General features: G+C 36.6%; 1 protein-coding gene across 25 annotated transcripts in view; it reads left to right on the forward strand.

Moving 5' to 3' along the window:
* The window catches only part of RIMS1 (regulating synaptic membrane exocytosis 1), a 516,596-nt gene that overhangs the window by 189,227 nt on the left and 304,380 nt on the right, over positions 1-22,989 (forward strand). For 24 of the 25 annotated variants that reach the window (NM_014989.7, XM_017010517.3, XM_047418419.1 and 21 more), the window contains one exon: positions 21,173-21,386. In NM_014989.7, coding sequence (NP_055804.2) covers positions 21,173-21,386 — 214 coding nt within the window. The remainder of the gene's footprint in view (positions 1-21,172; positions 21,387-22,989) is intronic. The other variant, NM_001350411.1, reaches the window with a different exon arrangement.

Below are 22,989 nucleotides of genomic sequence, written 5' to 3' on the forward strand. Positions count from 1 at the left end.
AGGGTTAAAGGAGGTAGAGTAATTTGCTTAGTGTTACAGAGCTATCTGTCTTATAGTTCTGAATAAGTTTTTTAAAATTAAATAGTAAGAATTGTTTTTATAGAATTCTTCCATGAAGGCTGTTCTTTTAGACTAGACCTTTAACATATTCATCCAGCTAGGGGAAAAAAGAAATAAAAAAATTCTCTATGAGTAAATATGCGAGTATGTGACCTGTTTGTTCATGTGTAATTATATGTAAACTACATTTATTGTAAATATTAACTGGCAAGCTTTAAGACTTTTAAAATTACTATTCCTAGGAATTTACCCTTATTAATCATTATGACTTGAGAGGATTTTAAATGACATTAATTGTGGCTGCTATTTATCCAGACACTATGCTAAGTCCTTTACTTACCTTATTTCATTGAGATCTCACAACAATACTAAGGAAAAAACAATATTATTATCCCCATTTTACCGATGAGGAAACTCAGTATATTAGCTTAGGCTTCCATTACAAAATACCATTGGCTGGGTGGCTTAAAGTCCATGATAAAGGTGCCCATCAATTTTGTTCCCTGCCAAGGGCCATCTTCCTGGCTTGCAGATGGCCCCCTTCTCACTGTGCTCTCACATGGTGGAGAGAGGGAGAGGGTTCTGGTTTCTCTTCCAAGTATTATATGGACACTCATCCCACCTTGAGAGCCCCACCCATATGGCCTCATCTCCACCTAATTACCTTTCAAATGCTCCACCTCCAAATATGACTCCTCCACTGAGGGGTAGGGTTTTAATATTTGAATTCTGGGTTCAATTTAACATTTGAATATTCAGTCGATAACACTGAGGGTTAAAGGAGGTAGAGTAATTTATTTAGTGTTACAGAGCTAGTAAGTGGTTAAAAATAAAGTGCGCTCCAGAGACTTCCAGGGATGATGCTATCCTGGGAAATAATTTTCTGCACTGAAATAATATTTTACATTGGTGTGAGGGCTTAAAAAAATCCTCAGCTTGACTTTTCCTTACTACCTCCAGCATAAGCACTCTTTCAAAGAACCATGTGGCTTGCCTCTCTCCTGGACTGCCTTGCTTATGGTCTGGTTTCCCTGGGAAAAACAAAGGGATTCTTTCAATTCTCTGTCCCATCACATAAATTTGTCAATAAAAGTCCTTCAGTGACCTCCCATTCCGCTTAGAAGAAAATAAAAAATTCCCTCCATGGTTCTCAAGGCCTTCTTGACTTCATGTAACTGACCTTATCTCCAATCCCCACTCCACTCTGCCTCGTCTGCCCTGACCCAAGCTCTTTCCTGTCCAGCCTTTGCACGGGCTGCTCCATCTGCCTGGAATCCTCTTCCCCACATGAGTGGAAGGCGTGTTTCTCCTCGTCCTTCAGGATCCCACTCCTCACTCAGGCTTCCCTGACAATCCTGTCTATGTAGCCATGTCCTACCCCTAGCCAGGGGCGTGTCTGTATGTTTCTCTCTTTTATTTGTCTTCCTAGCTATTAAAGCTACCTGCTATTTCTCCATGTTCTTTTGTTAATCTGATTTATCACCTGCCTCTCTTAGTTACCTACAAGTTTTCTGTGAACAAGGACTTAGTTTTGTTCATGTTTATATCACCAGTGCCTCAAAAGCACCTGGTATGCAGTAGATGATCAATTATTATGTGTTGAATTTATGAATGTATCACTCTTAAGAGACAGAAAGAATCCCAGTTCAGAAGTGCTAAGGGGCTATGTCCAAAGTTGTCCGGGATGTAAGAGACAAAACCACAACTCACACTTAGGTCTTCTTACTTTATTGGTCTTTCCATTCCTCTCTCCTACCCTTTTCTGTAGAAACAGAATAAGGAGCAAAACACACTCCTCTGAAAGTTGAAAGTGGTGAAAGAGAACTGAGATCTACTAAGCATTAAAGCTGTGTCAGATATTACACCAACATTCTCTAAAGTCCTAAGAGGTACAGTTACTACCCTCAATTTACAGATGAGGGAAATAAAGCTTAGATGGACTAATTCACTTATTCATGATCACTCAGCAAATCACTGGCAGAGCCTTTGTTCCAGCCCTGGCTTGTATCTGGTAATAATGCCCTTACTTAGGGGATGCTGACCATGGACATTCGACGAAACCCTTTTCTGGGCTTTCATTAACCTAGGAGTAAAAGAAAGGGGATAGCTTCACTTTAGATGATAGTGAAATTTTCTAAAATTTATAACACAATCCCCCCTTGCCTCATGCCTCTACGCTTTTGTTTACTATGATGGTATTTAAAGCTAAAACAAAACCCAGAAATCTTTGGGTTTTGAAAGCAATCTGTTAAAAACTATAATAATCCATGTATCCTTAGACTTGAGAGCATTTCTAAATGAAGCTTGCAATCTGATCATTTGGTGATGTTTGGATTATGTGGTTATAGTAGGATTTAAAATGCCTTTTCACACAGATACTATAGAAAGGTGAGCAGCAGGTTGCACACAGTGACAAATTAGCGGTGCTCTTAGCCAGGCTGTTTAAATTATTTTTAGGCAGGAGACATACTGTACACACCAGGTTTTAGATGCAAGTAATTACTATGAAATGTTACCTCACTCTTTGCCTGTAGTTAATCTGAGCTCTCCCTATTTCTCTCTCTTTCCTTCCAGTTCTATTCCCTAATACTTCATGTATTATCTTCCTTGCAAGTTCCCTTTTTTCTGTGAAATATTTTCTTGTTATATTGGCAAGGATACTTATCCTTACAAAACTGGTAGTGGCTGCAGCAGCCATGCCCAGAGCTTACTATGCAGAGACTAGTGCCTATATCGGAAGTTGAGACAGGTTGCTATACCAAACCTATCTTTAGTTCACTACCTGTTTGCTTCATTAGGTAGAAGCTTTCTCCTAGACTTAGGAGAAGCAAAAACAAACACAAAAAAACAAGCAAACAAAAACAATGCTCCTTTATTTAAAGGAGCATTTTCTCAGCATCTGAACCAATTATACATGCCTACTTTCCATATCTAAATTTATAGCATAGCACAATGAGAACTCATATTAAATGGAAGACCTTGAGGCTCTGCAGTATCCTGGATCATCTAACAAAGTTTTTTTATATATTTATATGTGTATATATATCTATACACACATACACACAGATACACCCAAACACTATACATACTAAGCATTTAACATATTTGAGGAAGTTAACTTTATCACATCACAGTTCACGTTTGTATAACTTCCTAAGAAAAGGTGGAATCTATTACAAAACAAACAGAAAAAGATGATTTAAAAAGCCCTAAGAGTTGGAGCTGTTTTTATTCCTTCATAGAGCCTGCATTCTAATAACCATTTAATATAACCTCTACCTTGATTTGTACATGGACTAAAAAGGTATGACCACTGGGGCTTAGCACTGAAGCAAGAAGAAACAAAAAGAGGTTGAAGGAACACTACTTACATAAGATTTCCAGATGTGGGATTACTGTGTATTCAGATTCCTTACACAATATTAATAGCACATATAAAATAATTAAAATTTCTGGGAACTTTTAAGCTGTTTGATGTATCAAGCAGGGTCTACCTTCATGTTATAGTGATTGCCAGGTTTCAGATGCTGGGTAGGTGTCAGGTGGATACTTCATTCATGATGCCAATAGAGTGTCAAATAAATATGGATTTTTTAACTATGAGATAATATATTATCATACTTCTGCACCCTCTTCCAATTATGAGACACAGTTTTCTTTGATGTCACTCAGGCTCAGAAAGTTGAACACCCTTCACTTGATGTGATTTGGCAATAATTGTCTTTGATGCTGAGAAAACATGCACAGTATGAAGCAGAAAAATACAGCTGGGTGAGGTGGCTCATGCCTGTAATCCCAGCATTTTAGGAGGCCAAGGCAGGAGGATCAGTTGAACCCAGGAGTTGGAGACCAGCCTGGATAACATAGTGAGACCCTGTATCTACAAAAAAATTTAAAAATTAGCCAGGCATGGTGGGGCGTGCTTGTAGTCCCAGCTACTTGGGAGGCTGACATGGGAGGATTGCCTGAGCCAGGCGATTGAGGCTACAGTGAGCTGTGATTGTGTCACTGCACTCCAGCCTGGGTGACAGACAGAGACTCTGTCTCAAAATTCAATCAATCAATAAAATAAAATAGAAAAATGCAACCTGACAATCGTTTTTTTAAAAAACAAAACGGGCTGAGCACGGTGGCTCATTCCTGTAATGCCAACACTTTGGGAGGCTGAGGCAGGTGGATCACTTGAGGTCAGGAGTTCAAGACCAGCCTGGCCAACGTGGTGAAACCGTGTCTCTACTAAAAAAAAAAAAAAAAAAAAAAAAAAAAAAAATACAGAAATTAGCCAGGCATGGTGGCAGATGCCTGTAATCCCAGCTACTTGGGAGGCTGAGGCAGGAGAATCGCTGGAACCCGGGAGGCAGAGGTTGCAGTGAGCCGAGATCATGCCACTGCACTCCAGCCTGGGCAACACAGCGCGACTCCATCTCAAAAATAAAATAAAATACAAAACAAAGTACATAACAGTCATGAACATAAAATGTGCCTACCTGCACAGACTCTGGGAGAGTTAAAGCAAGGTAGAAGGAAGATGTAACTGAACACTCCCCACCTCCACTATCAGAGCTATGGTCCAGACTTCCATTGTCTGTAAGCTGGATTATTGCCAGGCCTCCTGACTGGAGTCTCAGCTTTCCTCCTTGCTGTCTTCTATTACAAACATAGGAGCCAGAGGGAGCGTATGAAAATGTAAGTCCAGTTATCTGATTCCTCTGCTCAGACTCTTCCAATGGCTTCCCATTCACCCAGAGTAAAAGCCAAATCCCGATGATGATGAAGAAAGCTCACATAACCTGTGTACCCTCTTCCTCCTCTGCCCTTGCTCAGTCCATTCCTACCACAGGGGCCCAGCCACTTTGCCTCAGCCTCACCAGGTGGGCTCCCACCTCAGGCCTTTCACACTTGCTGCATCCTCTGCCAAGCCCCTCTCTCTGTAATGTGCTCCCTCACCTCCTTCAGGTCTTTGCTCAAATTTCACCTTTTGGTGAAGCCTTCTCTAACTACCTTACTTACACTTTAAAAAAACAGGGAAATCAGTAGTAACAAAACATTACTTAGCATTCAAAGTCCTCAGATGATAATATAATATGAATTTCACTCTGAGTAGCTACAATGTTTTCAATATGCTAAGTTTAACCCTAAGAAGGGCAAAGGGCAATAAAACTTAAAGAGTCAGAGGACAAGTAGATTTCTCCTTAGAATCACACACAGGGTACGTTTCCTGGGCTACTCCACTGAACAGCTTTCAGTTCAATTGAACTCTAAATATTTACCAATTGCCTGTTCTAAGGGACTTGATGCAGGGGTTACTGAATTGGGTAAGAAAGGATGAGACCCAGATTTTAAGGTTAAGATGATTTATCAGAGGGGATTACTCAAATACTCAAAGGAAATGACCAAAAATAGATAAAATAGGGTGTTGCTCATAAGTGAAGTATAGCAAAGTGTTTTCATTTTGACCAATTGCTACAAAATCAATAGAACTGTTGACTTGGAATTAGATCATGGTTAATTTGATTGGATCATGACAGTGACAAAAACTGCAAGATTTTCTGTCCAGGGTTCTGACACAGTCTATTGAATTAAATGCGGTTCAAATTCAAAGTACCTTCATATTATTCAAAGTTTCGCATAGATGGTGCAATATTATGAAAGGTAAAATGACTGCTCCTAGCTTTGTATGCACTGTGATTAGTGAAAGCATTATGACACTTTTTTTTTAGTATCTAAATATACCATACCATAAAATGGTAAGTTTTAAAAATAGACTTGATTATTACCAAGCAGTGGCTGGTGAGGGTAGAAGAGGTTGTCTGGAGTTGATTAAACAGTGGTAGGGGTTCTGGGTTACATGGGACAGATATAGAATACATCTGCATTTGTATAAATTAAAAATCCTTCTGATAGTCTCTGGAATTTTATATTCTACATTAGCAGTAATATTTGAATTATTGGTTTTATGATCTCTCTTTCGTGGATATAAAAGAACTTAAGTTATTTACAACACCTGTTATGTTATTTAGATGATAGTTAGGTTTTATATGCATATTAACAATGTATTTTAATTAAATGATGAAAACAGATGTCATCATTAGCAAATGTAATGGGAAGAAAATTACATCTTGTCACTTGCCTTGAAATGCACTCCAGAATGCATTAGAAAATACTGTACCTAATGATGGCTGACTAATTCAGTATACTGTGCAAGTAAAATTCAGGAAGCTTGTATTCTTCTGCTTTTAAAACTGAAAAAGAGGAAGCCTTTTTGGAATAAATTTTTTATTACTCAGCTATTCAACTTAAGCTTTACAAATAGAATATTTGATGGCACTGCTTTTAAGAATCTGGATTCAATCTATGTATTTTATTTCATAGTTCTAGATCCTATTTATGTATTTCAATCCATTGAATAATGTTACACTTCACAGGACCATAATAGATGTTTTATCTGATTTTTGTTCACTGTTTCCTCTATACATTATAAAATAGCTAATATTTTACTGAGTACTTACTATTGTCTCACACCTCCCTAAGTGCTTTGCATATACATATTAGCCATTTTAATCCTCACAACAACCCCACAGTAGGTAGGCATTATTATCCTCCTTTTACAGAGGAAGAGGTGGAGTCTTTGCATGTTAAATAACTTGCCAGATCAGAAGCTAATAAGAGGAAGAGCCCAAGAAAGTTTTGAACCCAGGAAATTTGGCGCTAGAACCACTGGGCTCTGCTCTTTTCTCAAGTATTGGCACACATGGAGATTAAATCTAAAACTAAGAAATATGCTTGTGCACTCACTTCTTGGGGTCAAGAAGCAAGTAATATACTTTCCTTCTACACTCAGAGTAGGAGCGGCATATCTTCATTATACCCTCACTAGGGATAAGTGGGTGTTCAGAACCTCTGAACAGACAAGACAGGAATGTCACAAGTGGCCACATAGAGACCCTGGTAACCAGAATGGGTGAGCACAAACTTTACCAACAGAAGAGTTTGTCCAGGGAGATGAAGCCATTAGATGTTGTGGAAATTAGGGGACATTGCACTTCTCATTTATTCCCTTGTGGCTCTGTGATTTCTGAGAAACAAAGCAGGTTGAAGAGCTTTATAGGACCATTGATGTTTTAAAGGAATTATTCTGATCAAATATTAAAAATGTAAGGTAATGATACTTTGTCAAAGTAATGTTGAAAGCTCCCCTCCCTTAGGTAACACATGCCTGAACATAGTTTTTCACCTAAAAGAAGAAAAGGCAACAAAATTTGGTTAACTCACTAATAAGAAGGATACATTTGATGTATGTAAATTTATCAGATATTAAACATGAAAAGGAAAACAAGTCTTTCACGTTAAAATTTTTCTGTATATCATTCATTCACCAAGTATTTCAGAGCATTGGAAATATTTGTGATTCAGCCAATTTACATTTATCAGTGCAGTGATAATACTAATGATAATACTCTTTTTATAAATATCAGATTTTTAGAATCTCCTTTCTTTTTTTTTGTTTGTTGTGAATCAGCAATGACCATAAAAATGCCGAAAAAATTTTCAGACAAAATTACACGTGTTCCACCAGTGGTTGTATCTTCTGGAGTTTCCACAAAACAAATTTTGCTTGTGGGCTCATTTTTCACTCTGACTTCCATCTCACAAGATGACCTATTTGCCCCTCGCTAGTGGTCTATTGATAGATCATCCAAGCCACTCATACTGATCCCCATCTGCCAGGAAATCCTGCCAGTCATCACTGCCTCCCAAAGTTATCAGCTAAGTGTACTCAGAAACTTAAAAGCGAAGTACTCTGTTTCCCTCATGTATTATCTATGTCTACGTATAATAATAATAGCTAATATTTATTGAGCTTTTACCATAGGCTACACACGGTGCTAAGCACTTTACATTGATTATCTCAATTAACCCTCCCAATAATCTTACAAAGTTGCTATTATTATCACCAGTTCATAAATGAGGAGACTGAGGAACAGAGTTTAAATAACTTCCTCATGGTCATGAAGCTGAGAAATAGAACTAGATTTGATCCTGACCAGGCCAGACTCACACTTATGCCTGAACTATTATATTTAATTCCTTCCAAAAAGTGTCCAGTTGTATAATGTAGTTGGGTTGGTTTTTTTCCCTCTTTATAGTAACATAACAAAGCAATTTGGTGAAGATAGTCAACAACAGAGCAAAGGCAATGTTTACAGTGTGTTGTGCATTCCAGAAGATGCAAGCATGAATTGGTTACTTAACACTTTGGCTTGCTCATATGTGTAGACACCACTGTCTTCTAAATTGCCAACACATGGAGTTTGCTCTTTATGCATTAGTTAGGTTGGCATGATCACGTGACACATTCTGGAAAAGTTTGCATGGAGTATGATTAGACCTATTTAATATCAGTTGATTACATATCTGTTATATAGATGATCCCAATATTACCTATTAAGATTATTTTCTTAAAACTTACTTCATTCCTTTTAAAAATTACATTCCTAATTCATATCCTACTTTATGATTTCTCATAATTTTACTTGATTTTCTTCTCTTGAATTGTACTGTGAATGAGATAACTTGTTTGTCAAAATATTAAAATTACCCTTTCTTGAACGAGGTTTTCAGTTTCAGACCTCTGATATATCTCCAATATTAGAAAGCAGTAATATTGTTCCATAATCTAGAAACAGTATTTCTAGGACCCAACACATGAGCCTTCTACACATGTAGCACCTCACAGCATTCAGGAACACAGTGAAGGTATTTATTGGGAGATGGAGTGCAGCAGAAAACAAATCTATGCTAGTGGGCCTCCATGTCCTCAGATGTCTTCATTTAATGCTTACTCGGGAGTGGCCTCCTATGGTAAATTGAAAATGGAATTAAAAATAAATGCTTGACTGAAGCAATAGACTATAAAACACTAATAGCTAATCATCGGTTATGCTCTTATTTTTTGTAAGTGTCATCTCTCAGTGCTTTCAGAACACTGTGGGATGCTGATTGGATGAACTTCATTTTTAACAATGCTAAATGGGGGACCATAAAAACTACCAACAATAGAAAAATATACAAAAACCCTTAATATATAATTTTTTAAAAGGGTATGTAGAATGATAGTCATCTGCAAAAGAGCAGAAATTGCAACATTTTATAAATTTTTCTTTTGTTCTTTTTCAGCCACCTCTGAAAACACATTTTCCTAATAAGTCAAATCTCCTGCTGATTGTACTAATTTTTTTTTAACACATAAGATGTTGTAAAGAAAAGTAATTTAAATAACTGTGACAGAATTGAATGCAAAAATAAAATGCTTTAGTGCCATCTGCTGGACATTTGCAATAAGAAAAAAGTATACTCATTTTAAACTAAAGACCAAATACGTTTTTAGATACAAACTGATAATTTGTAGAACTGTAGTAATTTTCAAAAATTACTCAATAACATCTGGGGTAAATTTCTGAATTACTGAGATATTTAGAATATTGCCTCTGAAGCAACCTATGTTTAAGCCTGTGTACAAAACACTGTGATGCTTTTTAAAACTCACATATACAAATGTGCACATTTCTGTGATTCACAAAATTGTAAGTTTTAAACAGTGATGGATATCAGGTTAAATATGTGTATATAACATAATATTAAATTATTCAGCATATTTTCAGAGGGGTAGTGCCCCAGATTTTGCATTTATGCTTAAAGTTTCATTGGGATGATTATTTTTATGAAATGAGATGACAGATCTGTGAAAAAATTGCCTTCATTTTCAAGTTTATTCTTAATGTTTGCAGTCTCTGCCACATGGTGGTCTCTGGATAATTTGCACCAGAACTACTAAAAAAGCTCCTTCCTGGAATTTATCCCAAACCTACTGAATCAGAAGCTCTGTAGGTTTGTCCAAAAATTTGCATTTTAACAAGCCCCTTAGATAATTCTAATGCATATTAAGTTTGAGGATACCAAGGAAACACCTCTTACAAAGCAATAACTTTCCGTTCCTTTAGCCATAATTAAAATTAGCATTCTGAAAATAGAATGGTGTAGTGGAAAGTTTGAAACAGAGGACCTAATTATCACCAACCATTTTACCAGCCTTATGTAAGGCACATAAAGCGTGTCCCTAAATTTTCCCATTTATAAAATGAGGAAATTGTACCCACTAATCTTTGGAGTTTCTCCTGTGTCTATATTTTCCCAAATGTTTTCATTTTACACTGGATTTTGGAATCCTTCCTTCATCTTGTCTCACTCTAAGAAAAGTGCTTAAGCGAATGCCATAGTGATGAACCCCAAGTCCTGGCAAAGAAGAAAACCTTGGTTTTAAGCTTGTACAACTAGATTTCTTAAATTTCAGAAGTGATTCACAAAAAGCGTTGAAGGAGACGACAAAGGCAAATGGTAGAATAATTCATATTTCTTCCAAAGGAGAGCCTGTATGCTCATATCTAGAATAGCATATTATATTCCTACAGCTGGTGTTAGGTGAAAAATTCACCTAAGTAAATTTAGATTAGTAAAGTATTGATAATTTTTAATGACACTTGGTAAGAGTTCAAGCTATGAAAGGAAGTTCAAGGCTGAAGGAAAAATACACTGCTGTAAAAGCGATTTCATCTGAGTTACATACGTTTGCAATTGCAATTGCTTCTTTTTGCAGGATACTATGCATATGCCTGACACCTGTAAACAACTTGTATTTATAATATCAGGTAATAAAATAATAGAAACTCAAGACCTTCTTATGCTACTTTCTTTGTACTCCCAGAGCCTTAAGGAGTGTGGGTTGTGCAACAGACCTCAGTAGATGTTTGTTGAATTGATGTTTGGAAGATTCTACTGTGTTTGACAAACAGCTGGAAAGTTTAATTTGATTGTAGTGTAAGATGTATGAGAAAACGTATGTGAGAGATGCTAATAGATAAGTAAGTGGGGACCTTGTACCACAGGATGAGAAATTGAACTACCTCAGAGATGATATTTAATCAGTAGATTGACATGATTGGTTCAGTTTATTAGGAAGATCATTCAGGCGGTATGAAAGATGCACTAGAATGATGGAAACCATCGGCAGGAAGCCTAGTTAGAAAGCTAATGAAATAATACAAGCTAAGAATAATGAGGGCCTTCATTCACAGGTGATAGATTTGTGCTGTGCATTAAATCACTACAGAAAGAAGGAGGTTGTTTGTTCGTTTGATTGTATATGTACCTTGTATCTCAGTCCAAGTTTTACGTTGATTTGCTGTCCCTGCAGCTTCTTAACCAGATAAAATGAGCGAGACAGACACAAGTACATATATCCACAAAGCTTGCAGAAAAAAGATATTAAAAATAAAAAATTACAAACTTTATTTCTCAACATAGGATCCATGAAGTTCAAGATGCTTTTATAACCCATGATACCAGCCATTTAGTTTATCCCTAAAGAACTGAGAGTCCTGGGGATTTTACCATGCCAATGCAGTATTTTTTATAACTTTAACTGAAGAAAAATTAGTGCCCTTCACAGACATTTTAAGATTAGGAAACAAAAGGAAGTTAGAAGAATTCAATTTAGGACTGTAAGGTAGATGCCTAATGATTGCCTATCAAAACTCTGGCAGAATTGCCCTTGTTTGATGAGAGGAATGAGCAAGAACATTGTCATGGTGGAGAAGGACTCTCAGATGGCATTTCCCTGGGACTTTTTCTACTAAAGGTTGACTAACTTTATCAAAACACTCTCATAATAAGCAGATGTCATCATTCCTTGGCCCCCCAGAAAGTGAGCAAGCAAAATGGCTTGAGCATCCCAAGAAACTGTTGCCATGACATTTGCTTTTGACTGGTCTGCTTTTACTTTGACTGGACCACTTCCACCTCTTGAAGGCCATTCTTTTGATTGTGCTTTGTTTTCAGGATCATACTCATAAAGCCATATTTCATCTACTATTAACAAATCTTCAAATAAATACTTTAGCATATTTATCCCACTATAAAATTTCCATTGAAAACTCTGCTCTTCTCTGCAGCTGATCTGGGTGCAATGGTTTTGGCACCCATCAAATGGAAACTTTGGTCAACTTTAATTTTCCAGTCAGAATTGTGTAAGCTGAACCAATTGAGATGTCTATCGTGCTGGCTACTATTTCTGCTGTTAATTATCAGTACCCTTCAATTAGGATATGAACAAAATGATTTTTTTCCTCACAAATTGATGTATGTGGTCTGCTACTACAGGCTTCATCTTCAACATCATCTCATTCCTTCTAAAAATGAGTCATCCACTTGTAAACTGCTGATTTATTTGGAATATTGTTCCATAAATTTTTCATAAAGTGTCAGTGATTTCACCATTCTTCTGCCCAAACTTCACTTGCATTAATTTTTATTTTATTTATTTACTTTATTTATTTATTTATTTATTTATTTATTTATTTATTTATTTATTTTGAGACCGAGTCTCACTCTTGTCACCCAGGCTGAAGTGCAATGGCCTGATCTCGGCTCACTGCAACCTTTGCCTCCCAGGTTCAAGCGATTCTCCTGCCTCAGCTTTCTGAGTAGCTAGGATTACAGGCGCCTGCCACCACACCCAGCTAATTTTTTGTAATTTTTAGTAGAGATGGGGTTTCACCATGTTGGCCCGGCTCCAGGCTGGTCTCGAACTCCTGACCTTAGGTGATCTACCTGCCTCAGCCTCCCAAAGTGCTGGGATTGCAGACGTGAGCCACTGTGCCCGGTCACTTGAAATTTCATGTTTGTTCTTGCTTCAGTTTTAGAGGAATTCATGTTGCTCTCATAGAAGCTCTTTTCAAACTTATGTTTTATCCTTCTTAGTGGCTCAAACTATTAGTAGGTACTTTTCAGACATGTTATAACAGTTATTACAAGTTCATTTTGGTGCAAGAAAGTTTTGAAAATGCATAGTTTTTTAGTAATACTAATTTTCTATGAACTTTTTGAAGACCCCTCATATAAGTAATTTGCTTGGGGAACTGAATCTATTTTTTAAATTTCCTGGTGGTGGCAAAATGCTTTCCATAGTAATGTATGCTTAGTGTATGATGAAGAAAAAGAAAGGGAGGGAGAGGAGAGAAGAGAAGAGAGGGAAGGAGAGGTGAGGAGGGGAAGGAAAGGAGGGGAAGAGAGGGAGGGGAGAGAGATAAAATGGAAAATGAATGGGAAAGGGAGATCTTAGACTTAGACTCAGATATTGTTCACCCCTGGTACAGTGGAAGGAATTAAGCAATTTGACATAGATTAGAGGATTGTAGCTGAAGTGGAAGACTGACCCTCACAATATACATTTCAAAATCATTTTAGGAAGTCTTACGAAAAAGCTAGAAATCTGAAAACTGCATTTCATAGACTCTCCTGCAGCTAGAATTCCTGATGTAATTTAGGTTCCATCAGTCAAATGGGCTTGCATGAGATTTGAATTGAAACTGATTTAGATGCAGAGCCACGACAACACACTGGGCATCATTTTCCCGGGATCTCCTGCTGTGGCTCTTGTGGTGGCTTCTAGATCAGAATACCTTAGCTGAGGTGGTAGGACACTAACACTAGCCATTTGGACAGTAGGTTTCTGATTTCTGCGGCTTCCTGATTGAGGAATTTGGTATTTTTGTTTTGTTTTGTTTTTTGTATTAGACAGGGTCTCACCCTGTCAACCAGGCTGGAGTGCAGTGGCATGATCATGGCTCACTGTAGCCTTGACCTCCGAGGCTTAAACAATCCTACCATGTCAGCCTCCTGAGTAGCTGGGTCTACAGACATGCACCACCATGCCTGGCTAATATATTTTTATCTAGAACTAGAAATACCATTTGACCCAGCCATCCCATTACTGGGTATATACCCAAATGACTATAAATCATGCTGCTATAAAGACACATGCACACGTATGTTTATTGCGGCATTATTCACAATAGCAAAGACTTGGAACCAACCCAAATGTCCAACAATGATAGACTGGATTAAGAAAATGTGGCACATATACACCATGGAATACTATGCAGCCATAAAAAAATGATGAGTTCATGTCTTTTGTAGGGACATGGATGAAATTGGAAATCATCATTCTCAGTAAACTATCGCAAGAACAAAAAACCAAACACCGCATATTCTCACTCATAGGTGGGAATTGAACAATGAGATCACATGGACACAGGAAGGAGAATATCACACTCTGGGGACTGTGGTGGGGTGGGGGGAGGGGGGAGGGATAGCATTGGCAGATATACCTAATGCTAGATGACGAGTTAGTGGGTGCAGCGCACCAGCATGGCACACGTATACATATGTAACTAACCTGCACATTGTGCACATGTACCCTAAAACTTAAAGTATAATAAAAAAAAATTTTTTTTATAGAGATTGGGTCTAGCTTTGTTGCCCAGGCATTTCTCAAATTCCTAGGCTCAAGTGATTCACCCACCTTGGCCTCTCAAAGTGCTGAAATTACAGGCATGTGCCACTGTGCCTGGCCTGATGGTGGAACTTTGAGTAGTTAGCTTGTGATTTTGTTTTGAGGGGCATTCCAAGAGATCAATCCAAGACCCCACAACCATCCCTCTTCCAACTATTTTGTAGCAGAAAACTCCATTATTTAACCTTTTTGTCTAAAAGACTGTGCTGTTTGTTATTTTCTACTCAACTCTGACACAAGAAGCCACGATGTACAAACATCATTAAAAAAAAAAATAGTGACCCTTGAAATTTTGCAAACTTTTATAGCTCCTCTATTATAGAGTGGAATCAAAAAGGCAGTTTCACTAAAAGGGGGACAATTGTGTTGTGGGGACAACAAAGAGTTTTTTAACTGTAAAACTATATGACTTACTGTCCTTCTTTGACACTGGTACATGCTGTCATGAACTGCTAATTTATATTTATGTATAACTTACTTTCTAAATTGATTATACATTCATTGAAGTCAAGAACTGTGAATTTATGTTCAACAGTGTAGTGTGATGTCAAAATGTGTATAAACAAGCCTCCAACCTACTAGACTAGCAAAACATTGAATTTCAGTCATTATTAGGGCTCCCTCTTGGACAACCCCCGTGTTTTTTGGAGGCTCTTAATCAGTCCATCGTTCTCAGAACAACTCTCCTGGCTTTAATATCCATGCCACTAACTTCATAAGGACTTGGTGGTGCCCATGTGCTAAGGTTGACGAAGGGAACGCGTGATGGCACTGATCTGTTTTCTGTGCCAAAGGCGTCAAGGGAAACAGAGGCCATGCTTATTGTTTTCAGCACCTATGCCCTTCCACCATTGTACACACATCCTAAAGCAATCCTCCTGTTGGAAGTCCTGCATGCAAACTATCCTGGCCTCTGCCCTGCTTTTACCTCAGAGAAAGCCCTCACCTGCTCTCAGAACCTACCACTTGGAGTTTTAAAACTTTAAAACAATAGCTTCCATCCTTTCCTCCTCTGGAAAAATCCAGTTCTATTTGCCTAGACTTCATAAAGGAAATCCAGGAAGAAAGGTAGAATTTTCTCCTAGATTCTCATTACTTTGGGAATGGGAGAAGAAAAAATACCAAATAGAAAAATGTGAATTTCTGCACTAATTAGAAGGATTTCTCTACATTCCACTATTATGATTTACTTGTTCAACAAATACATATTAATTTGTACAAATGTCATCAATAATTGCTTGTTTAAATTATTTATTTTGCATTCATAGCATGATATTTAGATTTTCAGACATTTATAGAATAATATTTAGTTTTTTAGGCATTCATCTTTGTTTCTTTTGAAATATATGCTATTAATCACCCAAACAACTTTTTTACAAATTGAATTTTAGAGTTTCTTGAATTGAATGTACAATTATTAAAATAATGCAACAATTATTATATAGTGAAACAATGAAAAAAAACAGAACCTCATATCCTGGGAGAAAGTTTCAATATCAATGCTTTTCTTTTGATAGCATTGTGTATTTTACAATACTCTCCATTTTCCATGTGGATAATTTAAATCTGTGATTTGTGATCATATATTTTGTTAACCTCACTAGTCAATAAGAATATATTGTTAATTCTAAAATCGAAGTGTACAAATAAATTTCACAAAAAGGTTTTACATTTGCAGTCCCACATTTACTGTAAGACCATTTAATAAAATATGTATTTCCATTTATTATTCATAATAGAACACTGTCACAAATCTTAAAGCATTAAAACATCAGATACAAAAAATAAATGTGCTGTTTATGGTTTCACTACCAGTATCTTGCTTCCAAAGGCACATTTTATTATGAGGACAGCATCTTGACAACATGAGATATCAGAGTAATGTAAGGGGAATATGAATTGAGAAAAGGGCATTAAGGTTGTATTTTAAGAGAACAATTTAATAGAACAGTGCAGGTTATGGAATAGGTAGATTTTAAGGACGTAGGAGTGAGGAATGCCCTCTCTCCCTTTCCTCCTTCCTTCCCTCCCTCCCTCCCTCCCTCCCTTCCTTCCTTCCTTCCTTCCTTCCTTCCATAATATTGGCTGGTAAAATAAGGAGCATTGCAGGAAATAAGTTGGAGAAGTTGACAGGGACCTGAGTTGGACTTTTTCTTCCAGAGCAGAATAAGAGAATCTTATCTGTAAGTAAAGGAAGAAACCCAGAAAGAAAAAATATTTGAAGATTAAGAGAGTTATAGACTGAGAAAAAGCAAGCTCTTTCTTCTCTCATTATACTCCCTACTGGGACGTCTATACCAGTAGTTTAAACAAGACCTGCTGCTGAAACAAAAAAGGAATTTCTAAAGCACATGAGAGGAGGGCATAGATGGGTACAGGTCACCAAGGGCCAGCATTGAGAAGGATGTGATTCCCTGTAGAGTTTGGAGTGATGGCTGTGTGAATGGCCTCATGAGCTTTGGGATGAAGCACTTGGTGAAAAGCTGCCCCAGGCCACTTAGGTATGTCCCTCTGGGAGAAGAACATGGTGCCCTGGTGGCTGTCTTCCTTAGGACCTACTCCAAGATCCCCCATGGAGAAAGTGAGAAGCTAGAGATCTCACCGTCATACCTCAGTGGAGAAGTCTCATCCAACCAACTCACTTGCCATGACCAACTAGAAAAGGAATAATTGCTGCCTGCCCACCTGTCACAGCCAGGAGACCTTCAATTCTATGTAGCCCTGATTTGCTATTCAATGCTATTTGATGAGACAGAACTGAATCTGAATCTTTTTCTTTCTAATATTAAATCATTCATACATACAAAACAGTATTATAAAACATACATGTAAGGTGTAAAGAAAAAATAAACTACATCATGTAACCCCTCCGCCACTAGCTTAAGAAATAAAACGATTTTAGGAATTTCGGGTCCTAGAGAGTTTGGGAAAAGTTTAGATATGTATTAAGCATATGTATGTGAGTATATATATATATATATAAAAACATGTGTGTATATATGTATATACATATATGTATACACACACATACACACACAAAGAGAACTCAATAAGATTAACTAGTAAGTTTAATCTACTGGATAGATATACATATGTTATATGCAATTAAGTTTATCATTGTCATGTGCAAAATAAAATGAATACTTTTTACTAGTAGTTTACACTCTGTAGTAATGCTTTTAAATTTAAGCTCTATACCAGTTTTTGTTTTTTTGCTTTTCTGTTTGTTTTTCTTAATAATTCCCTGAGATCTCTTTTTTCTATCCTTTTATTTCAAACATTCTGTGCCTTTATATTTTGGGTATATCTCTTCAAAACTTCATTTAGCTGGATTTTTAAAATCTAATGTGATGATCTTTGTCTTTTGATGATACTTCTTGTAATGTATAACATTTGTGATTCCTCATGTGTTAGATTTTTTTTTACCATGTCATACTGTAATATTTAAATGTTCTGCTTTGTCTATGTTTATGTATTTATTTATTTTAACTCTTATCTTCTTTTAGATTGACTTTTTTCTCATTCCGTATTTTTTCCGCTACTGGTTTGGATATCATACACTCTATTTCAATTATTTTTGGTGAATACCTAACTAAAATTTTATTTTCAATCACTTCTACAGGAGTTAAAACTGAAGTTCTTGGTCACAGAACCTCAGTACATGTTTCTTGGCATCTGCTTCAGAGATATGTTACTTTTCTGAATTACTGCTTCTCTTTCATTTTTGTCCTTTGAGAATTTGCATACTTTCCAGCTCAAACGTACATTAAAAGTTACCTTTTTAAATATTACACCCAGAATTTTCAGTGTTTTGTGAAGTAGGATGTATTAGGATATGTTGTCCTCAATATGAACTTGTTTGTAAGTTGTATGGACTTTTTTCTCAAAACAGACTAATTTATACCTATATGTATAAATTTTCCATTCAGCAAATATGGGTGTGTATTGGCTGCTACAAAGGAAGTGTATGCCTGAACTATTTGCTAAACTGCATTTCCAATATTGTTTACTGTTTGGTAGAAGAGAGGTGTTATGTACGGTAATAAAACATAGTAAAAATATTAAATGGTCTATGAGTGACCCAAATGAAATGCTATGAGATTGCAATAGAGTAAGGTTTTATCTCAGTGGTCAGTGCCCTGCCTGTATATATTGCACAAAGATTTCCTGAAACAGGTTCCCTTTTGATTGCACCATATAAAATTCCCGTATGTTTGAATTTAAAAACACACAGAGGCTTTGGTTTTCAAGCCATTATATCTTAGCATAAAGCACGTACTAATGAGGAATTGACAAACTGCTGTATGGGCAAAATCTGGACTACTATCTGTTTTTGTAAATAAAGTTTCATTGGAGCATATTTACATTCATTCATTTACATACTATCTGTGGCTACTTTCCTACTACAGCAGAAATGAGCAGTTGCAAAAGAAACTACATGACCCTCAAAGTCTAAAATATTTACAATCTGGCTTTATTCCAAAAAGTTTGCCAACACTCATACTACATCATGTTCTATATTTTAGAATAAGTGTATAGGGAAACTTTTTCCTTAGCCTAGTTTTCTCCTTCTCATTTATATTTACTTAAATAGATTTGATTTGGTGGTTCTCACAATAAATATTTATTTATGTACTCTCTGCTTAGAGTTTCCTTGGTTAGATATATTTCCTTGCTCTTATTACTTAATTATTATTATTATTATTTTACTTATTTATTTATTTTGACAGAGCCTCGCTCTGTCACCCAGGCTGGAGTGCAGTGGTGCGATCTCAGCTCACTGCAAGCTCTACCTCCCGGGTTCATGCCATTCTCCTGCCTCAGCCTCCCAAGTAGCAGGGACTACAGCCACCGCCACCACGCCCGACTATTTTTTTTTTTTTTTTTTTTGTATTTTTAGTAGAGGCGGGGTTTCACAGTGTTAGCCAGGATTGTCTTGATCTCCTGACCTCATGATCCGCCTGCCTCGGCCTCCCAAAGTGCTGGGATTACAGGCGTGAGCCACCGCGCCCAGCCCTTCCTTAAAATAATTTTCTTTAGTGGAAGAAGTAAGATTGCCGGTGCCATTTTGCATGATAACTTTTGAAATAACAAGTGCCCACAGTTGTTTTCTACTAGCTTGACCCTAGATTAATTATACTTAAAGTATAAAAAGTTCAGTGTATCAAATAACTCTTCGATAAATTGACCAGATATTCTTGCATTCATTAAATGAAATATCACATATATTCCTTTATGAAGTGATATTAGCTGGCCTTTAAATTGGGAAATATTTCAGATCCTAAACTACACTGTTATGTGCTGGTGCTTGGATGTTTGCTTTAATTATTGGAATTAAATAGAAAAGGTGCCAACTGGCAAAGCAGCAAAGGGATTTGAGAATTTTTAAAGTAATCACAGAAGTTCTGCTTAAGAGCTATTAAGGTTAAAAAGAAAATATAATGAAGTCTCAATACCTCAAACACTGCAGTACCTGGACCTAACTTATTTGATTCTATTTCCAGGGAGTATCAGTTCCTCACAGTTATCTTAGATTGAGAACATCAAACTAACTGCCTGAATTAACAAAAGCATCTGTGTACTCTGTGTCCTAGGGAATACTCAAATCCAAAAAACTAGCTCAGATACCCAGATGAATTTGAGCAGGAGTCCCTCTTTTGGCGAAATAGCCAATGACTATTGGCTAGGCTCAGGACAACTCTCAGTTCTCATTTTCAAAACCAAGACATCCTTCCACTGGGGCATTCACTGGATGTTCTTGTGTTCTATTCAGAACAGCAAACAGTTCTATTTATAGAGATTTAAGATTGGGATTTGAACTGATGTCGATGGGAGGAGACTTTAATCACATTAAATGTGAACATTCTAATGGGAGGTTTCCCTAGACAACTTTAGTTGTCCCCACAGTCAGTAGTTAATCAGGAGTGGTTGCTAGCAAGCTTCATACATATTACCTGGTTAAAATAATGAAAAATTGAACTATGTAAAAATCTGCATATCTACAAGGTAAGATTTAGAACTTTTGATGTGAACTGCAAGAACTAGGAGCTCAAATATAATGTAAAAGCTAACATTCTGTGTACTGTATTAAATTAGATACTTGATCCCAAATAGATAAGTAGCCTCCAGGAATGGGGGATAGAAGACAGATTGCCCAGCAACATAGTCTAAAACAGTATTTGTCAAAGTATGCATCATGCTCAAATACTGGGTCATGGAATCAATTTATTGTGACAAACTTATTTTTGAATTATATTCAGTATTAAAGTTAGAATAGGATAGAAAATAGTAGAGTACATCATATGTATTTAGGCTAAATATTTTGTGTAATTTTTGTTTCAGTTATATGCACACATGACTGTAGTTGTAAAGTGTTGAGCTCTCAGTTGAAATATTTTGAAACATCTAAAAGAAACAGGCATGGAATAGATACTCAAATTTCATTGCTGGCGACAAACAGGGCTTATGTAGCTTCTACATACACATAGTTCAGTGCTAATAAGCAAAACAGGGATTATGGAATCATGCTAATACATATCCTACCTTTGAAGGTAAGGTTAGTGGGGAAAATAGTTTTGTATGTTTTGCTTTAGTTCAAAGAGCTATGCTTCCTTTTTGTTAGGAAATATTCCTTGTTTTGTTTGTTCTTGGTTTTGTCTTCCACTATTTACTTAGTTTGCTACCATTTTCTCTTTTGCCTAGGAGATTGCATCAACAGTTTGAAAGCTATAAGGAACAAGTGAGAAAAATAGGGGAAGAAGCGCGGCGTTACCAGGGCGAGCACAAAGACGATGCTCCGACTTGTGGAATCTGTCATAAAACAAAGTTTGCTGATGGGTGCGGTCATCTCTGCTCCTATTGTCGCACTAAGTTCTGTGCGCGCTGCGGAGGCCGCGTGTCTCTACGGTCAAACAACGTGAGTATTCCATGAACATAAGGGGCGTTGTGAATGTGGATAAAAACTATTACGCCTTCCAAACATGAGAACACGTGCATCTTAGAAAGCAGACATGTGCATAAACATACACGTTAAAATGAACCTCCCTCATTTTGTTCATGTCCTTAATAAGGTAGTGGAATGCTGATGAAAGTAATTCCTAAAAAGAACTTACTTTATCTTTGTTTCTTAATACATGATTCCAATTCAAAACCAACAGATTACCTGTGAGAATTCATTTGGTTTTTGAAAAATGCAGTTAATGTAGATTTAATATTATCATAAATTATAAAACTCTTGAAAGTTATGACCAATTCTTTTAAAAAAGTTAACTACTTTTGATTTCTGTAACATTAGTATTCAGATTGAATGCACGTAAAATGCAAAATAACTGAATGTCATATATTAAGCAATGATTAGCCTCTATGAGAGTAAATTCAGATTTACTGATATGTTAAAGAAATACAGTGGCAAGCTTATCTCATGGAAATTATTTAGATATTTAAAGTCTATTGAGATTTGCACTTCTCATTTTCTTCTCTATAAGATATATTCTTACCTGATGATGTTTCCTTATTTGGCTTAAATAAGAGCTACCTACTCCTGTTATGCCAGTACTTTAAATAAATGCAATTTTTGAAGCGTTAAGATGCTAATATGATAGGAACCAATATTATTATTTATGAAATACTAGAGTAATTCTAATAAATATTTAGTTTAGAATACATTTTAATGTTATACTTTATCATATTCTCTAAAATAGTGCAGTATAATTATTTATAGGGAAATCTTGATAGATTTCCTTGATAGAGATCTGCAGCTTAATGTAGAACAGTTACAAGCATGTAGCTAAAGAATTCCCAGTGTTCCTGTAAAGAATTTGTCATATTATCTAATCATTAATAGATTATAATACGAAGTCATGTTTAAAAATAACACGAAATCTTTAAGCCCTCTTGATATTTCTCTATTTTGCACATTACAGTTAAATTTAAAACAAACCTCCCAATCAACATTATATTCTTTAGTAGTCTAGTTGAGTTACAAGTCAGATATTCTAAACTTTATTCCAGTGGACTTAAGACACTGAGTATGATCAATATATCTTTTTTTTTTTTTTTCTTTTTTTTCTTGAGACAGAGTCTTGCTCTGTCACCCAGGCTGGATTGCAGTGGCATTTGGCTCACCGCCATCTCCACCTCCTGGATTCAAGTGCTTCTCCCACCTCAGCCTCCCGAGTAGCTGAGATTACAGGTGGCTGCCACCATGCCTAGCTAATTTTTGTATTTTCAGTAGAGACGGGGTTTCACCATGTTGACCAGGCTGATCTCGAACTCCTGACCTCAGGTGATCCGCCCGTCTCGGCTTCCCAAAGGGCTGGGATTACAGGTGTGAGCCACTGCACCTGGCCGATCAATATATCTTATACTTTAAGGTGAGACTGTTACTACCTCTGTGGCTTTAGGAAGATAACTTCTCTGAACAGTTTCTTTACCTATGAAGACTGGATAGTAATATTTACCTTGTATGGGTGTTATGAAAATTAAATAAAAATAACTAAAATCTAGGTCTTTATGATATG

Source organism: Homo sapiens, chromosome 6 (assembly GCF_000001405.40).
Source record: "Homo sapiens chromosome 6, GRCh38.p14 Primary Assembly".
NCBI classification, from domain to species: domain Eukaryota; kingdom Metazoa; phylum Chordata; class Mammalia; order Primates; family Hominidae; genus Homo; species Homo sapiens.